Source organism: Homo sapiens, chromosome 16 (assembly GCF_000001405.40).
Source record: "Homo sapiens chromosome 16, GRCh38.p14 Primary Assembly".
Taxonomy (NCBI): Eukaryota; Metazoa; Chordata; class Mammalia; order Primates; family Hominidae; genus Homo; species Homo sapiens.
In genome coordinates this window covers 57,611,810-57,630,058 of record NC_000016.10, presented here as the reverse complement: position 1 = coordinate 57,630,058, position 18,249 = coordinate 57,611,810, and the positions used below count along the sequence as shown (strand labels likewise).

At 55.1% G+C, this 18,249-nt stretch overlaps 1 protein-coding gene across 46 annotated transcripts in view, besides 10 other annotated features; it reads right to left on the bottom strand.

The window, feature by feature from the left end:
• The window catches only part of ADGRG1 (adhesion G protein-coupled receptor G1), a 45,830-nt gene extending 35,509 nt beyond the window's left edge, over positions 1-10,321 (bottom strand). For 16 of the 46 annotated variants that reach the window (XM_047434906.1, XM_047434910.1, NM_001370431.1 and 13 more), the window contains exon 1: positions 9,923-10,013. The gene's annotated coding sequence lies outside the window, so the exon portion shown is untranslated. Of the gene's footprint in view, positions 1-1,230; positions 1,430-9,922; positions 10,014-10,177 lie in introns of those variants that run through there. The other 30 variants (NM_001370440.1, XM_006721340.4, XM_047434907.1 and 27 more) reach the window with 5 other exon arrangements.
• Positions 937-1,592: an enhancer, noted in NCBI's record as "H3K27ac-H3K4me1 hESC enhancer chr16:57662379-57663034 (GRCh37/hg19 assembly coordinates)". NCBI's record gives its function as "activates a minimal SCP1, AML or CMV promoter by ChIP-STARR-seq in naive H9 embryonic stem cells {active_cell/tissue: H9 hESC(naive)}" and the evidence as "EXISTENCE:reporter gene assay evidence [ECO:0000049][PMID:30033119]".
• Positions 1,318-1,387: a silencer, noted in NCBI's record as "silent region_7535". NCBI's record gives its function as "represses an Ori minimal core promoter by ATAC-STARR-seq in GM12878 lymphoblastoid cells {active_cell/tissue: GM12878}" and the evidence as "EXISTENCE:reporter gene assay evidence [ECO:0000049][PMID:35858748]".
• Positions 1,593-2,248: an enhancer, noted in NCBI's record as "H3K27ac-H3K4me1 hESC enhancer chr16:57661723-57662378 (GRCh37/hg19 assembly coordinates)". NCBI's record gives its function as "activates a minimal SCP1, AML or CMV promoter by ChIP-STARR-seq in naive H9 embryonic stem cells {active_cell/tissue: H9 hESC(naive)}" and the evidence as "EXISTENCE:reporter gene assay evidence [ECO:0000049][PMID:30033119]".
• Positions 5,388-5,682: an enhancer, noted in NCBI's record as "tiled region #10529; HepG2 Activating DNase matched - State 5:Enh, and K562 Activating non-DNase unmatched - State 22:ReprW". NCBI's record gives its function as "activates a minimal TATA promoter and a strong SV40 promoter by Sharpr-MPRA in HepG2 and K562 cells {active_cell/tissue: HepG2 | K562}" and the evidence as "EXISTENCE:reporter gene assay evidence [ECO:0000049][PMID:27701403]".
• Positions 6,936-7,790: an enhancer, noted in NCBI's record as "H3K4me1 hESC enhancer chr16:57656181-57657035 (GRCh37/hg19 assembly coordinates)". NCBI's record gives its function as "activates a minimal SCP1, AML or CMV promoter by ChIP-STARR-seq in primed H9 embryonic stem cells {active_cell/tissue: H9 hESC(primed)}" and the evidence as "EXISTENCE:reporter gene assay evidence [ECO:0000049][PMID:30033119]".
• Positions 9,181-9,685: an enhancer, noted in NCBI's record as "H3K27ac-H3K4me1 hESC enhancer chr16:57654286-57654790 (GRCh37/hg19 assembly coordinates)". NCBI's record gives its function as "activates a minimal SCP1, AML or CMV promoter by ChIP-STARR-seq in primed H9 embryonic stem cells {active_cell/tissue: H9 hESC(primed)}" and the evidence as "EXISTENCE:reporter gene assay evidence [ECO:0000049][PMID:30033119]".
• Positions 9,686-10,189: an enhancer, noted in NCBI's record as "H3K27ac-H3K4me1 hESC enhancer chr16:57653782-57654285 (GRCh37/hg19 assembly coordinates)". NCBI's record gives its function as "activates a minimal SCP1, AML or CMV promoter by ChIP-STARR-seq in primed H9 embryonic stem cells {active_cell/tissue: H9 hESC(primed)}" and the evidence as "EXISTENCE:reporter gene assay evidence [ECO:0000049][PMID:30033119]".
• Positions 10,190-10,694: an enhancer, noted in NCBI's record as "H3K4me1 hESC enhancer chr16:57653277-57653781 (GRCh37/hg19 assembly coordinates)". NCBI's record gives its function as "activates a minimal SCP1, AML or CMV promoter by ChIP-STARR-seq in primed H9 embryonic stem cells {active_cell/tissue: H9 hESC(primed)}" and the evidence as "EXISTENCE:reporter gene assay evidence [ECO:0000049][PMID:30033119]".
• Positions 15,239-15,298: an enhancer, noted in NCBI's record as "active region_10906". NCBI's record gives its function as "activates an Ori minimal core promoter by ATAC-STARR-seq in GM12878 lymphoblastoid cells {active_cell/tissue: GM12878}" and the evidence as "EXISTENCE:reporter gene assay evidence [ECO:0000049][PMID:35858748]".
• Positions 15,419-15,468: an enhancer, noted in NCBI's record as "active region_10905". NCBI's record gives its function as "activates an Ori minimal core promoter by ATAC-STARR-seq in GM12878 lymphoblastoid cells {active_cell/tissue: GM12878}" and the evidence as "EXISTENCE:reporter gene assay evidence [ECO:0000049][PMID:35858748]".

The window sequence follows — 18,249 nt, the reverse complement described above, 5'->3', positions numbered from 1 at the left end:
TATAAATAACTTTCTTGGTCCACTGAAGGAGCAACAAAGGCTATTCCTACACAGCCCGTGGACCCCAGGCTACAACTGCTCCACATTGGTGGGGGTGGGAGGCCCCTGCCTTGACCCATCCCCTCCTCCCTACGCAGTAAAATGAACATCAGACCTCTCCCAGTGGGGCACAGGGAGACCCCAACTCTACCACGCAGGGGAGGTGGGTTGGGGACGGGGGAGGACAGGAATCATTGGTTTCCTACACACTCCCAGCCCCCGCGGGGACCAGGGTGGGAAGTCCTATCAGTGCCAGGCAGATGGAGCCCTGAGGTCTGGTGGCAACGGGCAGGGTGTTCAGCCCGCAGCCTGCGCTTCCCCGTCTGCCTGTCACCGGTTCCAGGACTCTCACCCACGTGGCCCACGTTCAGAGACCCTGCGGGGCCACCTTCTCCCAAAGCTGGCCTTGGTGATGAAGAGCACGGCTGTCCCTTGCTCAGTGGGGACCCCGGACCCAGCCCCAGGGACAGCTGCAGGAAAGCTGTCCTCAGGAGTTCCCTCAAGTGCCACCCCCTCCCTGAGCCTGGCCCCTGGCTTTCTATACCTGGATGTGCTAGGTGACCTTGGGCAAGCCACCTGCCCTCCCAGAGCCTCGGTTCTCCCATCTGTGTAGTAGGAGCACTGATCTCACAGCCTAAAGAGCAGACCCCAGCTTGCTGGGCCCAGTGACTGTACCACTCTGAGCCTCAGTTTCTCCAGCAACAAAATGCCTGGGAGCCCCGGGAGGTGTCGCTCCCCTTGGGCCCCAGTCCCCTCCCAGGCATCTCCTTGTGGGTCCGCCCCCACTCTAGAGACCCACCCACAGCCATGCTGACCTGGACTAGATCCCACCAAGATACCAAGACCCCCCCATTTCCCCATTTCACCACCATCCCTACCCACTGTCCAACAGCCACCCGTGCACGGATGCACACATCCACACTTACACTCACATACACTCCCACACTCACACTCACACTCATACTCACACACACTCACTCACACTCTCACACTCAAACGCTCAGTCACACTCTCACACTCACACTCACATTCTCACTCACTCTCACACACTCACACTCACACACTCTCACACTCTCACGCTCACACTCACACTCACACTCACTCTCACACACTCACACTCACACACTCACACTCTCACACACTCACGCTCACACACTCACACTCTCACACTCACACTATTCCCCTTCCCACCTGCTGTCCAGCCCTTGTTTGGGTACCTGCTGCCAGGTGGAGGGTCCCACGCAGGGCCAGGCGGCTGGACCACCTTTCAGGATCCACCCCCAGAGGCTTAACCTGCCAGCCCTGGTCCCCGCTGCCTGCCGAGTGAGCTGGAGAGCGTGGGAGGCTCCCAGCCCATCTCCTACGGCAGGGCAGGGCAGACAGCTAGTGCGGAGAGGGAGGGACCGGGTTTGTTTGGTGGGGAGACACCCCTCTCCTGCCCCAGCTGGGCTCCTCCCTCCTCCCTGAGCTTGACTGGGGATGACGGACGATATATGTGAGTCATGGATTTCTCAGAGGGAGACCAGGAGGGGGCAGGGCTGAGAGCGCTGAGGCAGTGATCCTGGGGGATGCCCATGACTCAGCGCCGGGCAAGGGGGCACCTCAGCCTCACCCCTCATCCAGGCAGACAGTGTTCAGGGACAGGAAGGGGCCGGGGATCACTCTGCTTCCTCAGCCTCCATCTGTCGCCTCCCAGGGCCAGTCTCCCCAAAGTTCCCACAGAGAGGCCGGGGTTGCCACGGCAACAGGGCCCTTGGATGCTGTCCGCCCACCCCCCAGGTCAGGGCGACAACTGCCCTTTCCTGAAGGAGAGTCCAGCCTCCTTGGCAGCCGACGGGAGCCAGTGCTGACCGGCAGAGCGGAAGGCAGTCGGGAGGGAGCGGGTGACAGGCAGCCGGGCAGGAGGCCAGCCAGGCCACGCACGACTGACCGGCTGACCTGCGTCCCCCCGGGGGGTGACCCGTCTCCCCTCTCAGTGCTCCTCAAGCACCCACAGTTTCAACATCCCAAGTCATTTTGGATTCTGAGACCCCAGGGGCTTCTGGAAACGGCCTCCTTTAATCCATCTGCTGAGCCAAAGGGGAAACCGAGGCCTGGGTGAAGAGCCATTCCCAGTGGCCCCAAAAGCTCAGACAGAGAAGTGTGGAAATGGACCATGCCCCATCCCCCTTCTGGTCATTCCTCTGTCAGCAGCACCTCCCGCTGCTGGGGTTCAGTGCCCTTCTCGAGTCAGGAGGCTTTGGATAACTCACACTCCCTGCAGAGGCTCCTGTCTGCCCTCCTCCTCCGAGCAATGAGGATAGATGATTCCTCAGTCAGATGTGCTGGGAGGCTTTTACAATGCCAGAAGGGTGAGTGGTGACAATAACAGTAATTACACTCGCTGACCACCGTCTGCATTCCAGCTCCAGAGCGCCCCTGGCAGTGGAGAGAAGTCAAACCTGCTACTCAGACCAGTGCCTGGTACTTGCCAAGCCCTCAATAAATACTCCCTGTGAATGTGGTGATGAAGAAGAGGGAGCTTAAGGCAGATACATGTAGCTCAGAGATGAGAATTAACCTGCCCAAGATCACACAGCAGGGAGGTGCCCGAGTTGGGATGGCGGGAGCACAGGCCGTCTGGCTCCATAGCGGGTCTCCTAACCACTCAGCAATCCAGCACCCCAGGCCTCAGCCTGGGGCCTGGACACGTGGATGCTTGGGGAACTTGAGATTCCTTCTCTCCGGTAGAGATCTGCCTTCTAAACAAGGGGGCCAGGAAAAGCTTCCCCATGCCACGTGGAGGAAGAATGAATGGAACGTCTCGGGCAGCCTAGGAGCCAGGGCTGCTGCAGGTGAACTGCACTCCTCACCTACCTGCTTGAAATCAAGCTGCAGAAAGGAAGGGCCACAAAGCCACCCCGTGGGGTGCAGGGAGGCCATAAGGTGAGAGCTTCCAGAAAACGGCACTGTGCTTCCCACATTCACAGTCCCCAGTCCAGGCTGTGGGCCAATACCTGGGGCAGGGAGGCACAGTGGGGACTGGGCCCATGTCATACCCTCTGCTCTCTCCCGGGGCTGCAGTGGGAACTCCCTTATTGCCAAAGCAGCAGAGGCCAGCCTACACTGGGGGCCCACTAACAAGGGAGGACAAGTGAGTTATCTAGGGGAGGATGGGTTGTCCCTGACATACCACCACCTCTGCCTCAGTTTCCCCAAGGTCAGTCCTTCAGGGCCTGATCAACTGGTAACCCGGGCAGCCTCAGCTGTTCCCCAGGGACCAGGCCCACAGGGCAGCTGTCCCCCCACCACCACCACCACACACACACCCCACAGAGCGTGCTGACCAGAAGGGCACAGATGGAGAGTTGAAGGCACCACTCTCTCTGCAGATGGCTGAAGAGAGTGCGGAGCCAGCTGCCACTCTGGCCACATAGGAGAGGCTTATGGGGCTGCCTGGCTGGGCGGAGTTGGCTGCCCAGCTCTGCCTGCCTCTCTCACCGTCGGACTTTGCAGAGACCTACTATGAGCTAGGGGCAGGCAGGTGAGGAAGCAGGCCCCCAGCTCTGAGTCTGGCTAGAGAGACAAGCCTGGTTCTCATAGTAGCGATACCTGGAGTTGGTATTCAGCATCCAGGGGTCTCTGGGAGTAAAGGGGGAGAAATTCAATGACTTGTTAAACACAACACTATCTGTTATGAGTGCTGATAACAGGACTAATAATCACCTGCTATGTCTGGAGGTTTTATGGTGTAAGATGCTCTGCTTGTACAGATCATTCTCATTTTATCCACACAACCCTGTGGGTTGGGTACCACTTGTATGTTAGAGATGGTCAGAGACATGAAGTAACTTAGCCAAGGTCGCACAGCTTGGACCTGGCTGGGCCTCCAGGTGTGTGGGCTGTAACCAAACACGGGACACCAGATATCCGGCCCCTGCTAGGCACTTCATCTTCTCCTTCTGTTCTCACAACAGTCTATCCCCACTTTACAGAAGGGGAACCGAGGTACAGGGAGGGCTACCCACGCCTTTCTATAACAGCCAGGATCTGAACTAAGCGTGTAGACCCCAGAGCCCCTGCTGGGACCTGAAGGAGAAGAAGGGGGCTTCGATAAACAGAGACCAGCAGGAAGGGCACCCCAGGCAGAGGGAACAGCATTGGCTGAGGTGGAGAGGTAGGGCATGGAGCCATGCTTGGAAGGAAGTGGGATCTAACTGGGCAGCAAGGGGCAGATTCTGGAAGATTTTGAAAGTGTAGAGTTTGGGCTTAAATCAAAGGTACTGGGGAGCCAGAGAAGATGTTTGGGTAGGGAGAGGCCTGATTAGCCCTCAAAATGTGGTCTTCAGACCTACAGATAGCCTGAGACCTGCTGAATCTGAATGTGTATTTTAATAAGATGCCCAGGGGATTCCAGAATTGGAGGTGTGAGAAGCCCTGGTCTAGACGCCAGGGACTTGTACCAGCAATGATGCGGAGGGATGGGCAGAGGAGTAGAGGGGAAGTTGGGTCCGGATGGGGCCTCGAAGGAGGCAGATGGGGGAAGAGCGGGGGAGGAGACTTTGGTCCAAGAGACCAGGAAAAGGGCTGGGACACCCCACCCCCCACAACCCGACAAGTGAAGGTGGGGACCGAGGAGAGGGGGAAGATGTCTGAAACGTCCCTGAAGAATCGGGGCACAGGATGGGGTGCAGATCCGGAAGGCAGAGAAGAGACTGCCCTGTGTGCAATGGAATGGGGGCAGCTCTGTGTCATGTGGGGAAGCCACAGGTCCCCCCTGCTTCCCAAGGCAGCTGGAAACACGTCGTTGGGGCTCAGCAGTGAGGGACTGGGGTCGCCAGGCCCAGAGAAGGTCATGGCATCATTGGCTGGCGACGGAGTCCAGAGATGGTGTGGGGAAAGCAGAAAGCTGAAGGTGCAGGAAACCCTTCGTTTTGAGGGACAGAGGAGAGGGGGCAATGCTGCTGCACCCTCTCTGAGCCCGGAGTCTGTGATCACAGACTCTGGGTTCAGGCCAGCTGGCCTCTACTCCCAGCCGGCCAGCTGGATGACTTGGGCAAGCATCTCTCCATCCATTTATCTCCTCGCCTGCCAAGTGGGGACCAAAATAGCACCTTCTATTGGGCCGATTAAATGAGGCCACATGCGTAAATCTTGCAGCCCAGGCCTGGCAGACAATGGGCACCCCAATGCATTGGCCAGGGCACTGTTATTCAGAGGGGCCTGCAAAGGAGGTAGAGAGGAGGCTGCCGGGGAGGTAGGAGGAGATCTTCAAGAACATGAGAGCCTCAGGACAGGGATAAGGGGTTAGGGCATCCTTATTGTCTGCTGTGACTGAGGCCTGGGGGAGTAGGAAGACATGGTGGGGCTGGGAGGGCTAGGAGGAGGTCTTCAGCCCCTTTTTCTATCTCTAACCCTCTGGCCAGAGCAGCAGCATTTAGTGGGAACCAGCCTAGCAAACAGTGAAGAGCTGTCCCCACCTGTGCAAATGGCCATGAGCAACCACTGCCTGCTCAGAAGTGGGTTTTTTCTTTGTTTTCGAGACAGGGCCTCGCTCTGTTGCCCTTGCTGGAATGTAGTGATGCAATCATAGCTCTCTACAGCCTCAATCTCCTGGGCTCAAACGATCCTCCCACCTCAACTTCTCAAGTAGCTAGGACTATAGGCATGCCCCACCACACCAGGCTAACTTTTGTATTTTTTTGGAGAGACAGGGTCTTGATACGTTGCCCACGCTAGTCTTGAACTCCTGAGCTCAAGCGATCCTCCCACCTTGACCTCCCAAAGCGCTGGGATTACAGGTGTGAGCCACTGCGCCCAGCCTCAGAGGTGGGTATTTTTTAGACAAGAGCAGTTCATATCCAGGCTTCTCCCCTTGCAAGCTGAGTGACCATATAAATCATTGAGCACAATGCAAGGCACACAGTAGGTGCTCAATAAATCTTGGCCAACATCATTATTATTATGATAAAGTCCACATGAATGCCAAAGGCCCAGAACTCCACCATTTGCAGTTTGCAGAACCCTTTCACATCTACTACCTCCTCTACAAAACAGTGATGATTGTTCCCATTTAACAGAGATGAAAACTGAGGCTCAGAGAGAGGAACTTCCCAAAGCTTTGCAGCAAGTTGGCAACAGAGTCAGGACCTGATCTCAGACCATGTGTTTTGCGGCCAATGTTCCCAGCCACCTCCCTGCTATCTCCTGTGGGAAAGCCTCCTGGACACAGGCGTGGGGGTACCCATAGTCCCATGATAACGCCATCTCCCATCACACCCGCCTCAGGGCCCAGGCCCAGCAGGGATTGCGTTGCACATGTGACTCAGCCGCCTTCACAAAGGGAGCTGTGTGTCTGGTTCCCTAGGCCCGCCTCCCCCACCCACTGCCCATCCCCCAGTCAGGGAAAGAGCAGGGAGCCTGGCCTAGCCAAGATGCGGGGGAAGCAAGGTCATCCTCATCGCTAAAACGGGACAAATCTAGTGGTGCTTCAGGACCAGCCTTAGGATGCAAGCCTTGGTGCCAGCTCAGATGATAGAATGAAAGGCCGGGCACACAGGAGGGGCGAGCATGACCAGGTCCAAGACATTTTCTGATACCTTATTTGGAGCTCCAAGGACAGACTCCATCTAACTGGCTCCCTTGGTGAGTGGAGCCTCGGCAGGTGCCCTGCCCATGTTTAACCTGCATCTGGTTTCAAAAGCGCTGGAGCTTGTGGTCAGGGAGGAGGCACTCCCCGGATGCCAGTCGGGCTCCTGCGTCCACACCTGGCTGCAGCACTGGCCTCTATCCACCCCACCCCCGGAAGGTTCTAGACTTGGAGCAGGTGAACCCCTGTTTAGCACTTATCCTGTGCTAGGCAGGTGACTTGCATTTTCCCCCACAACCCTGTCAAGGAGGATTTGCCCCATTTGTGAGAGGAGAAGACTGAGACTCAGAGAGGGAAAGGGACTGACTCAGGTCACACAGGATTAGAGCTGCCTTATTTAAGTCCTGCTTTGCCCCTCCATACCATCTTCTTGGTTCCAATGGCAACTTGACCACATGCCAACAAGAAATGGCCTTGAGCCAGATGCAGACAGACGTTCTCCCTCCCCCAGGGTCACCCTGTCCCTGCCCTGCCGGGAAAGGGCCACTGCAGAATGCAGTTCCTTAGGGTTCAGGCTGGCTGGGCCTCCAAGGTCCACCCCCGCCTGCTGACCTCCCCAGCGGGGAAGGCATGCCTGGGTGCCCCGCTGCCTGAGATAGAAGGTAGACAGTGTGGCCGCCCCGTCTTCCTAAGCATGACGGAATGTCTGACCTTTTGCCTAGCCTCCCAAGAGCACTTGGCAGGAAGGATGGATCCATCCAGAACAGGTCATTCTGGCCATACCCCTGCCCCCAGCCTTCAGAAGCCCCTGAGCCCAGAGCAAGGCTGAGCCACCTCTAATAAGCCCTTCCCTCACCCAATCACATGCCTGCCAGCCTGGGCCCCTCTTGCAGTGTGCACGGCTGGGCGTCCAGAAGTCTGGGTTCTTCGGTGAGACTCTACACATCCCTGCATGTCACGGTGTCCTCTGCACCTCAGGGTATTGGAGCCAGAAGCACAGCCCCTCCTCCGAGTGTGGCTCCTGGGATGATCCCTACCTGGCGCCCAGCTAGAAGCAGCCTTGTCTGGAGGAGCCCCAGCGGTTGGGGGGCTCAAAACTGCCCATCACTCCACCTAGACGCCACCCAGCATCACCCTGAAGCCCTCTGAATAGCCAATCATGAGATTTTGCACCAAATTAGAGCTTTCTGTGCCTCAGTATCTTCCTGTGTAAAATGGAGGTATCCGCCTATCTTAGAGAGCCTCTGTCACTGCCACTGCTGTATCTTTGGTTTAGCATAAACTCCCCACTCTCTCTCTGGTTTTTTGTTTTGTTTTTTTTTTTTTTTAGAGACGGGATCCTGCTCTGTCACCCAGGCTGGAGTGCAGTGATGCAATCAGAGCTCCCTGCAGCCTCAAACGCCTGGGCTCACATGATCCTCCCACCTGAGCCTCACGAGGAGCTGGGATTACAGGTAGGCCACCACACCCAGCTTGGGTTCTCTTTTAAAATCCAAATTCCCCCAGTGGAGAGGGCAGCAGAAGAGGCCTCTGACTCCTCTGTAGAAACCTCCCTTCCTGAACTAGGGGTCCCAGCCTTGGCATGGGGTCACCAGCATCCCCTTACCTCAAGACCATCCTACTTGCTGCTCTTGCCCCTAAAATTGTGCCTCTTGCATCAGCAGCTCCCTTGGCCCTGGCCTGTGAGGTCTGAGTGGCAGCTGCTCGGATGCCAGGCCTGGTGTCAGGTGCCTCTGGTCAGGCAGTGAGGCATCGTCGCTCCTGTGCCAAGGGAGCCAAATGAGGCCCAGAGAGGTTTAGTGACTACCCACAAGGTGGCACAGCAGTGTGCAAAGATGGCAGGACTTGCTCCAACTCGAAAGGACTGTGTATCATCTCACTCGATGCCACAGTGTTCCTGGAGGTCAGCTTTGATCTCCCCGTGCACCCCACCTCCACCCCCACTCCCTACACCCATACACACCCCATCAGTGCCCAGCACAGAATGTGTTAAAGTGTTGGCTACAAGAGACTTCCCACTGGGAGAATCATAAAGAGGGCGCCTCCGTTTCCTCACCTGGACACCAGGACTGCCACCACTTCTCTCTTGGTAAAATGAAGAGCTGCAGTTGAAACTACTTTGTGGAAAGCCCACGGAGCACCCAGCCCCCCAACACATCCCAGAAATGCCGCCTTCTGCATGTGCCTGTGCCCAGCAGCCAGGAGCCCCCAGGGTCTCCCCCTAAGTCCTGGGGCACAGATGGCTCAGAAGGCGTAATGGAGCAATGATGAAGCCACTCATTAGCAGGGGCTGCCTAATTAACAGAGGGAATGTGGGGGGTGCCATTTGCTGCCCACACGCCCCAGGGAGCCAAGTTGGTAGAGAGGGCACAGCGCCAGCACCCCACCCGCAACTCCAGACACCCACCTCTGGCTGGCTGGCGTGTGTGGCCCATGAGACCAGGGGAGGGGCCTACTGCTGCAGCTTATGGGTTTACAGACCACTGCCCCTGCCTCTCCTTCATGGAACAGACAGGGAAACAGGCCTGGACAGCAGGGGAGCCTGGCCCAGGGTCCCACAGGAGGCAGTGGCAGGGCCGGGCCCTTTCTTCCACGACAGTTCCCTGTTCCAAAGAGTCCTCAGCCACCATGGAGGGGCCTGGCCCAGAGAAGACAAGCAGCCGGTGGAGGGAGGGACCGTTTGAAGTTCTCCTCCTGCCTCTTGCAGCCAGGGGAGGGAGGGCTGTGATGCTGGGTGCAGGCAGCTGGGGGGAGCAGGGGACCCTCAGCTGGCCGCTGGCTGGGCACGCCCCCCCAGGCCTGCACCCTGTTCCTTCCATTTGGCTCGCTAAGGGAGGCTGCCTTCTCCTCCCCAGTCAAAAGTCAAACGACCTGGGCCAACCTGCTCCCAAACCGGTTTCCGTGGGATCCCAGGAGGAAGCTGCTCAGGGCGCTGCGGAAAGCAGGCAGGAGACTTCAGGTCCTGCCGCCTGCCTCCCGTCCATGCTCAGGCTCCGCGGCGTCACCCTTGCCCTGCGTCCTGCAGTGTCCGTTGGACACCGGGAACACACCTCACACCTGCCAGCTTCCCGGTGCTAGGATGACCACCATGCCAGCATGCCCGGCCATGCTGTGCACTGCAAGGGGTAACCCCAGAACAGCCAGGGCCTCCACTGAGAGACGCCCAGTACCCTGAACAGGCCAAGGGCCAGGCCACACACATCGGGACTCTCAGGGCATTGAACTAGACCTGAGGGATGGCCAAGGTCAAGGGGGACAGGCTGGCAGTGGCACCCTACTTATCTTTCCCACCCCTGTCCCCCACCCGTCTCTTACCTCCAGGTCTGGGCAGGTCCCTCACCGGCCTGTGCCTGTGTGGCCTGCTCCTCCCCTTCCACCTCCTCCCAGGGCCACAGGCACCCAGTCTGAGCTTGTCTGGGCTGGCGGGCAGCCCCAGGTGAGGCTCCGCCTGTCTGTCTCGCCCCATTTCCGGCTGCCCCACAGCCACTGCAGCCGCCACCCTCTCTTGTTCCCAGGTGTCCTTGCAGGGGCCAACCTGACCCTTAGGTGCTGAGTCCCCCCACCCCTCACCTCTTCGTGGACTTCAGCACCTCTCTCCTGGGAAGCAGAGGCTGCTGGATGAGCCCAGGGGAGTCCTTGGGTTCTCTGGGTCTCAGCGGCCGCCCAGGCTGTTGGGAGATGCTGCCCTCCATCCGTGATCTGCCAACTCTTTGTGAGTTTCTTCCTGCCTCCTCCCTCAGTCCAGGCCCCGCCTGGAATCCTGGGCCAGACTCACCTGCCTGTAATAAAAACAGGCCCCAGCCAGCAGCTGGTGGGGTCAGGAGGCGGGAAGCGAGGGGGATGGGGAGTCCTGCTCATTCTTCTCTCTGAGTTTCCAGGCTCCTGCAGGACACCTGACAGAGGGAGAACTGAGGTAGACAAAGGGGCAGGGATGGAAGCCTCTTCCAGGAAAGAGCTCAGCGGCCACCGCTCAAGGCATCCTGGGAGGGTGCCCAGCAGAGTCCTCCAGGCAGGCCTTGGCCCACTCGCCCCTAACCCTGCCTGCCTGGCCCCTGTCCCACCCTTCACTCCTTGTCTCAGTCTGGCAATTCTCCAGGGGAAGTTTCTCAAGCTCTCACACCCAGGTACCCCTCCTCTAGATGCTTTCTGATTCCTGCATCACATCCTCAACATTGAGAACACCGTCTGAGCCCCGCCACCCCTTCTAGAAGCCATCCGGGCAATGGCTGATTTATTCTACAAAGTCTCTATCAGGTGCCACTGTGGGTCACGCCTGGTGCGAGGTGCTGCATGCACCTCAATGCACCCTATAAACCTTCCCTCACCTCCCCTCACCCCACTGTTTCTCCCATAGTCCCCCAGGCTCCCCCTTGGCTGGGACCAATCCCTAAGTGTCGGAATTCTTTCTTTCCTGATCCGTGTGCCCTGCTAGCGCACCAAACCCAAGAACCAGCACAGGGCCTGGGATCGAGAAATTCTGGGTGATTGATGGGTGAGGAAGTGTGGGAAGAAAGCACAGACGGTGGATGGATGAAAGTGTGGACAGGCAGGGGATGCACCACGCCTTCAGCGAGTGTCTATTGAGGGCCTGCTGTGCACCAGGTCCTGTGCCAGGCATGGGGGATCCTGCAGCCAAGAAAACATAGAAACCTCTGCCCTCAGAACTGTAGGAGAGACAAGAAATGAATAAGCAAGTAATTATTAAAAATATCCAGTGGCGGCGGAGTGCAGTGGCTGACGCCTATAATCCCAGTGCTTTGGGAGGCCGAGGCAGGTGGCTCACCTGAGGTCAGGAGTTCAAGACCAGCCTGGCCAACGTGGTGAAACCTTGTATCTACTAAACATAACAAAAATTAGCCGGACATGGTGGCAGATGCCTGTAGTCCCAGCTACTCAGGTGGCTGAGGCAGGAGAATTGCTTGAGCCCCGGAGGCGGAGGTGGCAGTGAGCCGAGATTTCGACACTGCATTCCAGCTTGGGTGACAGAGTGAGACTCAGTCTCAAATAAATAAATAAATCCAGTGGTAAGAATTATGGAACAAAAATAAGCCAGGAAAGGGGAAAGAGTGATGGAGGTGGGATGGGCAGCTTAGATGCTCTCTGGGAAGGGACACCTGTGCACGGACTGAATATAGTGGGGAAAGCGGCCTTTGGGACATCCCCTGAGACCAGGGATTGGTGTTTAAGGAGCAAGGAGGAGGAGGCCAGCTTGATTCTGTGGCTGAACAAAGGAGCTGAGGTAGAGATGAGATGCAAGAGGTGAAACAGGGATGTGGACAGGTGGTCAGATGGGAGCAGAGGTGGATCCAGGTCTGGACTGGAGCCCTCTCTGACTCCCCAAGGCAGTAAAGAAGGGTTATCTGCTGGCCACAGCCCAGGTCCATTCCTGAAGACCAGCCCAGACCCCACTGGCATTCCCAGTCCCAGCTCCCTCTTGCCCCTCTTCCCCATGGCAAATTCCCAACAGTCGATGCCACCTTTGCCGCACCCATGGGCCTGCAGGCCTGCTCTGCCCTACGAGTCTCCTGCTTGAGTACAGACAGGGTTGGGGTACCAGAAGGGAGAAGGAGTGTCAGAGAGAGGGGGATCTGCAGGATGACAGCCTGACCTCTAGGCTCCGGGGTTTCCCCACAGCCCCAGAGATGTCACCCACCCTGATAAGGACACCAAGGGAGTCCCAGTGACTTCCTGTCTACCCGCTGGCAACTCCGCCACGCCTGACACCCATGCTCCATCCCCCATGACCTCTGGCCTCAGGGTCCCTGGCTTGTGATGGAGCAGCAGGGGCTGGGCCTGAGGCCCTGGGCTGGGACCTTCACTCACTAGGTACACTCGGGGAGGTTTCTTAACCTCTCTGTGCCTCAGATCATCTAGTAAATGAGGGCACATGCCTTTGCCTTGTTTGCCTTCTAAAAGTGAAGGGAAGAAGCTGCGCGTGGTGGCTCACGCCTGTAATCCCAGCACTTTGGGAGGCCGAGGCGAGTGGATCACCTGAGGTCGGGAGTTCAAGACCAGCCTGACCCACATGGTGAAACTCCGTCTCTACTAAAAATACAAAAGTAGCAGGAGTGGTGGCACATGCCTGTAATCTCAGCTACTCTGGGGGCTGAGGCAGGAGAATCGCTTGAACCCAGGAGGCGGAGGTTGCAGTGAGCTGAGATCGTGCCATTGCACTGCAGCCTAGGCAACAAGGTGAAACTCTGTCTCAAAAAAAATAAATAAATAAAATAAAATAAATAAAGGGAAGAAAAGAGACAGGGTCAGGAAATTGCTTCATCAGGTACCTAGGGAGCATTTGTGAGGTCAGGGCTTTGGCTCTGGGACTCCTCCCTCACCACCAATCCGGGACCTAGCCCAGCACCCCTGGGATGAAGGGGTGGAGCCGGAGAGTGTCCAGTTCTATGTCTGGTGGCTGCAGATGATAATAATAGCTATTATGTAATCCTGGCAACCAGGCACTGTGCTAGGCCCATTACAGGAATCAGCCCACAGACTCCTCACCATACCCCGAGAGGCGGAAGCCACTTTATAACTTTTTTTCTTTTTTTTTTTTTTTTTGAGATGGAGTCTTGCTTTGTCCCCTAGGCTGGAGTGCAGTGATGTGACCTTGGCTGACTGCAGCCTCCGCCTCCTGGGTTCAAGCAATTCTCCTGCCTCATCCTCCCAAGTAGCTGGGATTACAGGCATGTGCCACCACAATTGGCTACCTTTTGTATTTTTAGTAGAGATGGGGTTTCACCACGTTGGCCAGGCTGGTCTCGAACTCCTGACCTCAGGGAGCCACTTTATAATGCGGGTTTTACAGATAGGGCACAGGGGGTTCAGGAACGCGACGGAGATCCCACCCAGGCAGTCTGACTCCAGAACTCCCACCAGGACTCCAGGCCCCTTATTGAGCCCTGGGTAAGCCCAGTCTCAGCCTGCCCACCCCTCATCCCCACTCAGTGGAGGGCCTCAGGAAATGCAGACTCCTTCCCTCTTGGGGCACATAGGAGGTGTGGAGGGGCAGGAAGGGTCCCCAGCTCTGACATCTTGTGCTCCAGCAGGGCCGCGGGCTCAGCCTCTCTGCTCCCTCTGAGAGCTGGTGCTGCCCACAAGGTCGGGGGTGAGCTACCTGTCTCAGAGGGAAGCCAAGGAGTTGTGCAGCTAGGGCGTTGCAGATAAGACACTTACCACATCTACAGGGAGGACTAAATGGTCTCTAAAATCACCTCCTACTCACAGGTTATTTTACTTGGGCCATTTTTCACTAATTCATGTATTCATCCGCTAACCCGATATTTGCACAGCAACTACTGGGTACCAGGGCCTTAGATTTACTTAGAAAACAGCCCACAGAGCAGGCAGCAGAGGCGTGATTAGCCATGGGGCTCTAGAGCAGACCGTCTGGGTCGGTACCCGGCTCCACTGACCGGTTGGTTTATCTCCCTTAGCCTTGGTTTGCTCATCTGCAGAATGGGGGTGATAGCAGTATCTATCCATGGAGTTGTAAGGACTAAATGAGACAATGCTAAGTGCTACCACCCATGGCTGGCACGTGGCTAAGTGCTCAGTAAACATCTGCCACATCAAAATCCAGAGGAGAATTTAAATTACTAACCTTTGGTCTGTGCGAAATGGCTCACGCCTCTAATCCCAGCACTTTGGGAAGCTGAGGTGGGTGGATCACTTGAGGCCAGGAGTTTGAGACCAGCCTGGCCAACATGGCAAAATGCTGTCTCTACTAAAAATACAAAAAATTAGCTGGACATGGTGTTACACACCAGTAGTCCCAGCTACCTGGGAGCCTGAGGCAGGAGAATCGCTAGAACCCAGGGGGCAGAGGTTGCAGTGAACTGAGATTGTGCCACTGTACTCCGGCCTGGGCGACAGAGAGAGACACTGTCTCAAAAAATAAAAATAAAAATAAATTACTGACCTTTTAACTCATTCTGGTCTGCAGTGTTGCCTCCTCATATTAGAGCAATAGGAAAACTTTCCTCCATTCTGGCCACAACTGGAAGGTGGTCTCCATGCCACTGCTCCGCAGCCAGCCCTAGGATCAGCACCCCCATCCTCACCATGCTTTCTAGAAAAGAGGTGAGGGCTAGCTAGGCCATGGTATTACCCTGCCTCCTGCAGTCAGTTCATCAGATCAGTTCTCCACTCTCTGTATCCTGTGGTCACACCCAAGTTCCGTCAATATGTGATCATCCATCTGTGCACTGTCTGGGGTCTGACTCCAGCCCTGGATCTATCACTCTCCAGCTATGTGGTACTGAGCAGGTCAGGGCCCTCCTCTGAGCCTCAGTGTTCCTCATCTGTGAAACGGGGATAATGACAGGACCCGTCCTGCCGTGTTTTCAAGCGAATCACATGAGGATGCCTGGGGCGGGGGGACAGAGAACCACTCTGAAACACACTGTGCCAACCAAAAGGCTCCCCGGACTGTCCCAGCAGTTCTGAGGAGTGCCTGTCCCCGTTTTACAGACAAGGAGATGGAGGGTGACCGAAAACAACTCAAAGCAATCCACCAAGCCTCTGTGAGTCAGTAGCATCAGGCCACTTCCATGTGTTCCATGACACTGCAGAGCTTTCCTGGTACAGCTCTGGGGGCCTCTTCAGGTTTGCCCCGTGTCTTGAGTTACCTGAGTTCTGCCAGGGTCGAGATAGGAGCTACTGAGTCACCTCCTCCGGGGGCATTTTCAGCTGGGCCTCCCCATGCCTCCTCAGAGTCAGCAGCTGCTGTGTGTCAACTACCCAGAGGAAACAGGTGAAAACCAAATGTCAAGACTGGGGGCAGAGGCCGTGGCCTAGAACAAGGCAGCTCATACTGAGCGTATCCCTGGCACCCAGTGGCTTTCCTCCCAGCCCTGGAGCAGGTCTGGCCTGCCCGCAGGTCTCTTTCTGGGACCAGCCAGGAGCAGGCCTGGCCTGCCCGCAGATCTCTTTCTGGGACCAGATGTCCCTCCTGGCTCCTGATTTCCCTACTGCCATCTCTGCCTAGAGAAACGCCATCCACCCCCCTTTATGGCCCAGTTCAAATGCCCCTTCTTCCAAGAACTCCTCTTGGAGTTATCCCGTCCTCTTTTATGGAAAGTCAGGCTCTGAACCCCTGAACCCCTGAACCCCAAAGTCCCACATCCCTTTACTTATAAGAATACTGGCATCCAACACTCCCAAGCACCTCTCTGTGCCAAGCCCATTCCTAAAACTGCATGGATTGATTTATTTAATCCCCATAACAATCATTTGAAGGGAATTACATAGGGGATTATAGACAGGGAGACTGAGGCCTAAAGAGATTTAGGAACCTGTCCCAGAGCACACCAGCAATAAGTGCCAGTGGCAGGACTTGAATCCATATCTCTGTTGGACCATAGGTCCATGATTTATCTCTAGGTCATACAGTTTCTCAGTGAATGTATTTTATTCATTCATTCAACGAACATTTCCTAAGTACCCACCAAGTGCCAGGCCTCAAGCTGGGCTCTGCATACCTGACAGAGCCCAGAAACCATCCCTGCCTTCATGGAGCTGATGGCTTGATGAGGAAGTAAGGTAAGAAATTAAACAATCAATGAAGTAATTAATCAAATAATTCAATAAATACAAAGACAAATACATGTAATGGGAGGGCAATTTAAAAAGCAACCTAAACAACAAAAGAGTGAAGATGAAATGAAATAGGGAATGCACTTTAGCCAGGTAATTAGGGAAGGCTCCTTGGAGGAGGTGATGTTTGTAACAAGGTCCTAATGGATAAGGAGGAGCCAGCCGTGGAAAGAGTGGGCCTGGGGCTCAGCATACCAGACAGAAGGAACAGCATGTGCAAAGGCTCGGAGTGAGGAATATCCTCAGCATGTTGGAGAAACTAGGATCTGGTAATTGTGACTGGAGCACAGAGGCAAAGGAGATGAGGGCAAAGAGCCGGGCTGTGAAGACAGGAACGGAAGTATAATTTTAGTCCGAGGGAAGCAGGAAGCCATGGGTGGATTCAAAAGGGAGTGAGGGGATCGATTTATATTTCAAGGAGGGTAGCTGAAGGACTCAGCCCTGCTCTGACAAGATAAAGGCTATCGATCAATGCTAGGCCTAGCAGCCTCTCCTGCATGCCAGACCAGGCATAATTATCTCCACTCTTTTGTTTTTTTAGTTTGCTTTTTTCATTGCCCTTTCATTACATGTATTTGCCTTCATATTTATTGAATTACTTGATTAATTACATCATTGATTTTTTATTTCTTCTCTTACTTCCCCATCAAGAAATTGAACTGCTGGCTGGGTGCAGTGGCTCATGCCTAAATCCCAGCACTTTGGGAGGCAAAGGCAGGCGGATCACTTGACGTCAGGAGTTGGAGACCAGCCTGGCCAACACGGTGAAACCCTGTCTCTACTAAAAATACAAAAAATAATTAGCCAGTCGTGGTGGTGGGCGCCTGTAATCCCAGCTACTCGGGAGGCTGAAGCAGGAGAATTGCTTGAACCCGGGAGGTGGAGGTTGCAGTGAGCCGAGATTGCGCCACTGCGCTCCAGCCTGGGTGACAGAGAGAGACTCCTTCTCAAAAAAAAAAAAAAAAAAAAAGAAAAGAAAGAAAAGAAAAACAAATTCAGCTGCTAACACCACAGGGTCCTGATAGCCGGAGATCACTAGGAACCAAGCAGAAACCCTGCAGAAGCCTCCCAGGGTAGAGGGTAGGAAGGCAGCCCCCCACCCCACTCCCAGGGAGGAGACACTGGAACTGGTCCACCCAGAGCAGCTGAAACGCAGGCAGTCGGTCCACCCACCCGTGCAGGCCCTGCAGCCTTGGGCCCCTCAGTCCTGGGCGGGCCAGAGCTGGCCTCCTCCGCCCCACATTAGTGGTGGGCTGCTAAATATTGACAACAGGCTCTCTAAGTGTTGTTTGGATACCTATATTGATATTTTCATTTACATTAACAAGAAAAAAAAGGAAACAACAAAGATACGTGTCGGAATTTCATTTGTCCATCAATGACGTGAGCAATTTTTTGCCGAGTGGGATTATGGTCTTCAGATACTGGAATCTTTGCTGAGTCTGATTTTGAATACAGATTTTGAATAGTTGGCTGAATCGGATCATGGTTTTCAAATTGTTTGTGCTGTTCGTGATGTAACAGCTACAGACATGACACATTGATTGCATGGAATATGCCTTAATAACATTTCACTGCTTTCTCAACTCTATCTAGACAATCAACAAAACAACAAAGCAAGTCCTGATTTGTAACATTTGTAGATTTCCGTGGTTTTAATACTCTCTGACTAGGTGCAGTGTCTGTAATCTCAACACTTTGGGAGGCCAAGGTGGGAGGATCGCTTGAGGCCAGGAGTTCAAGACCAGCCTGGGCAACCTCCTGAGACCCACCCCAATCTCTACCAAAAAAAAAAAGTTTTAATAAATAAATACTTCTGCCACGGCCAATTGCAAGATAGCAAACATCGAACACGGCATTTGGAAAAGGTGCACAGAAGCTCACCATTCTTTTTACTCTACCAGTGCAACAGATGGCAACTTCAAGAGCACAGATGGATTCATTTGCTATGGCTATCACAGCAAAGTACCACAAACAGGGTGGCTTGATCAGAAATGTATTCTCTCACAGTTCTAGACGTTAGAAGTCCAAGATCAAGGTGTTGGCAG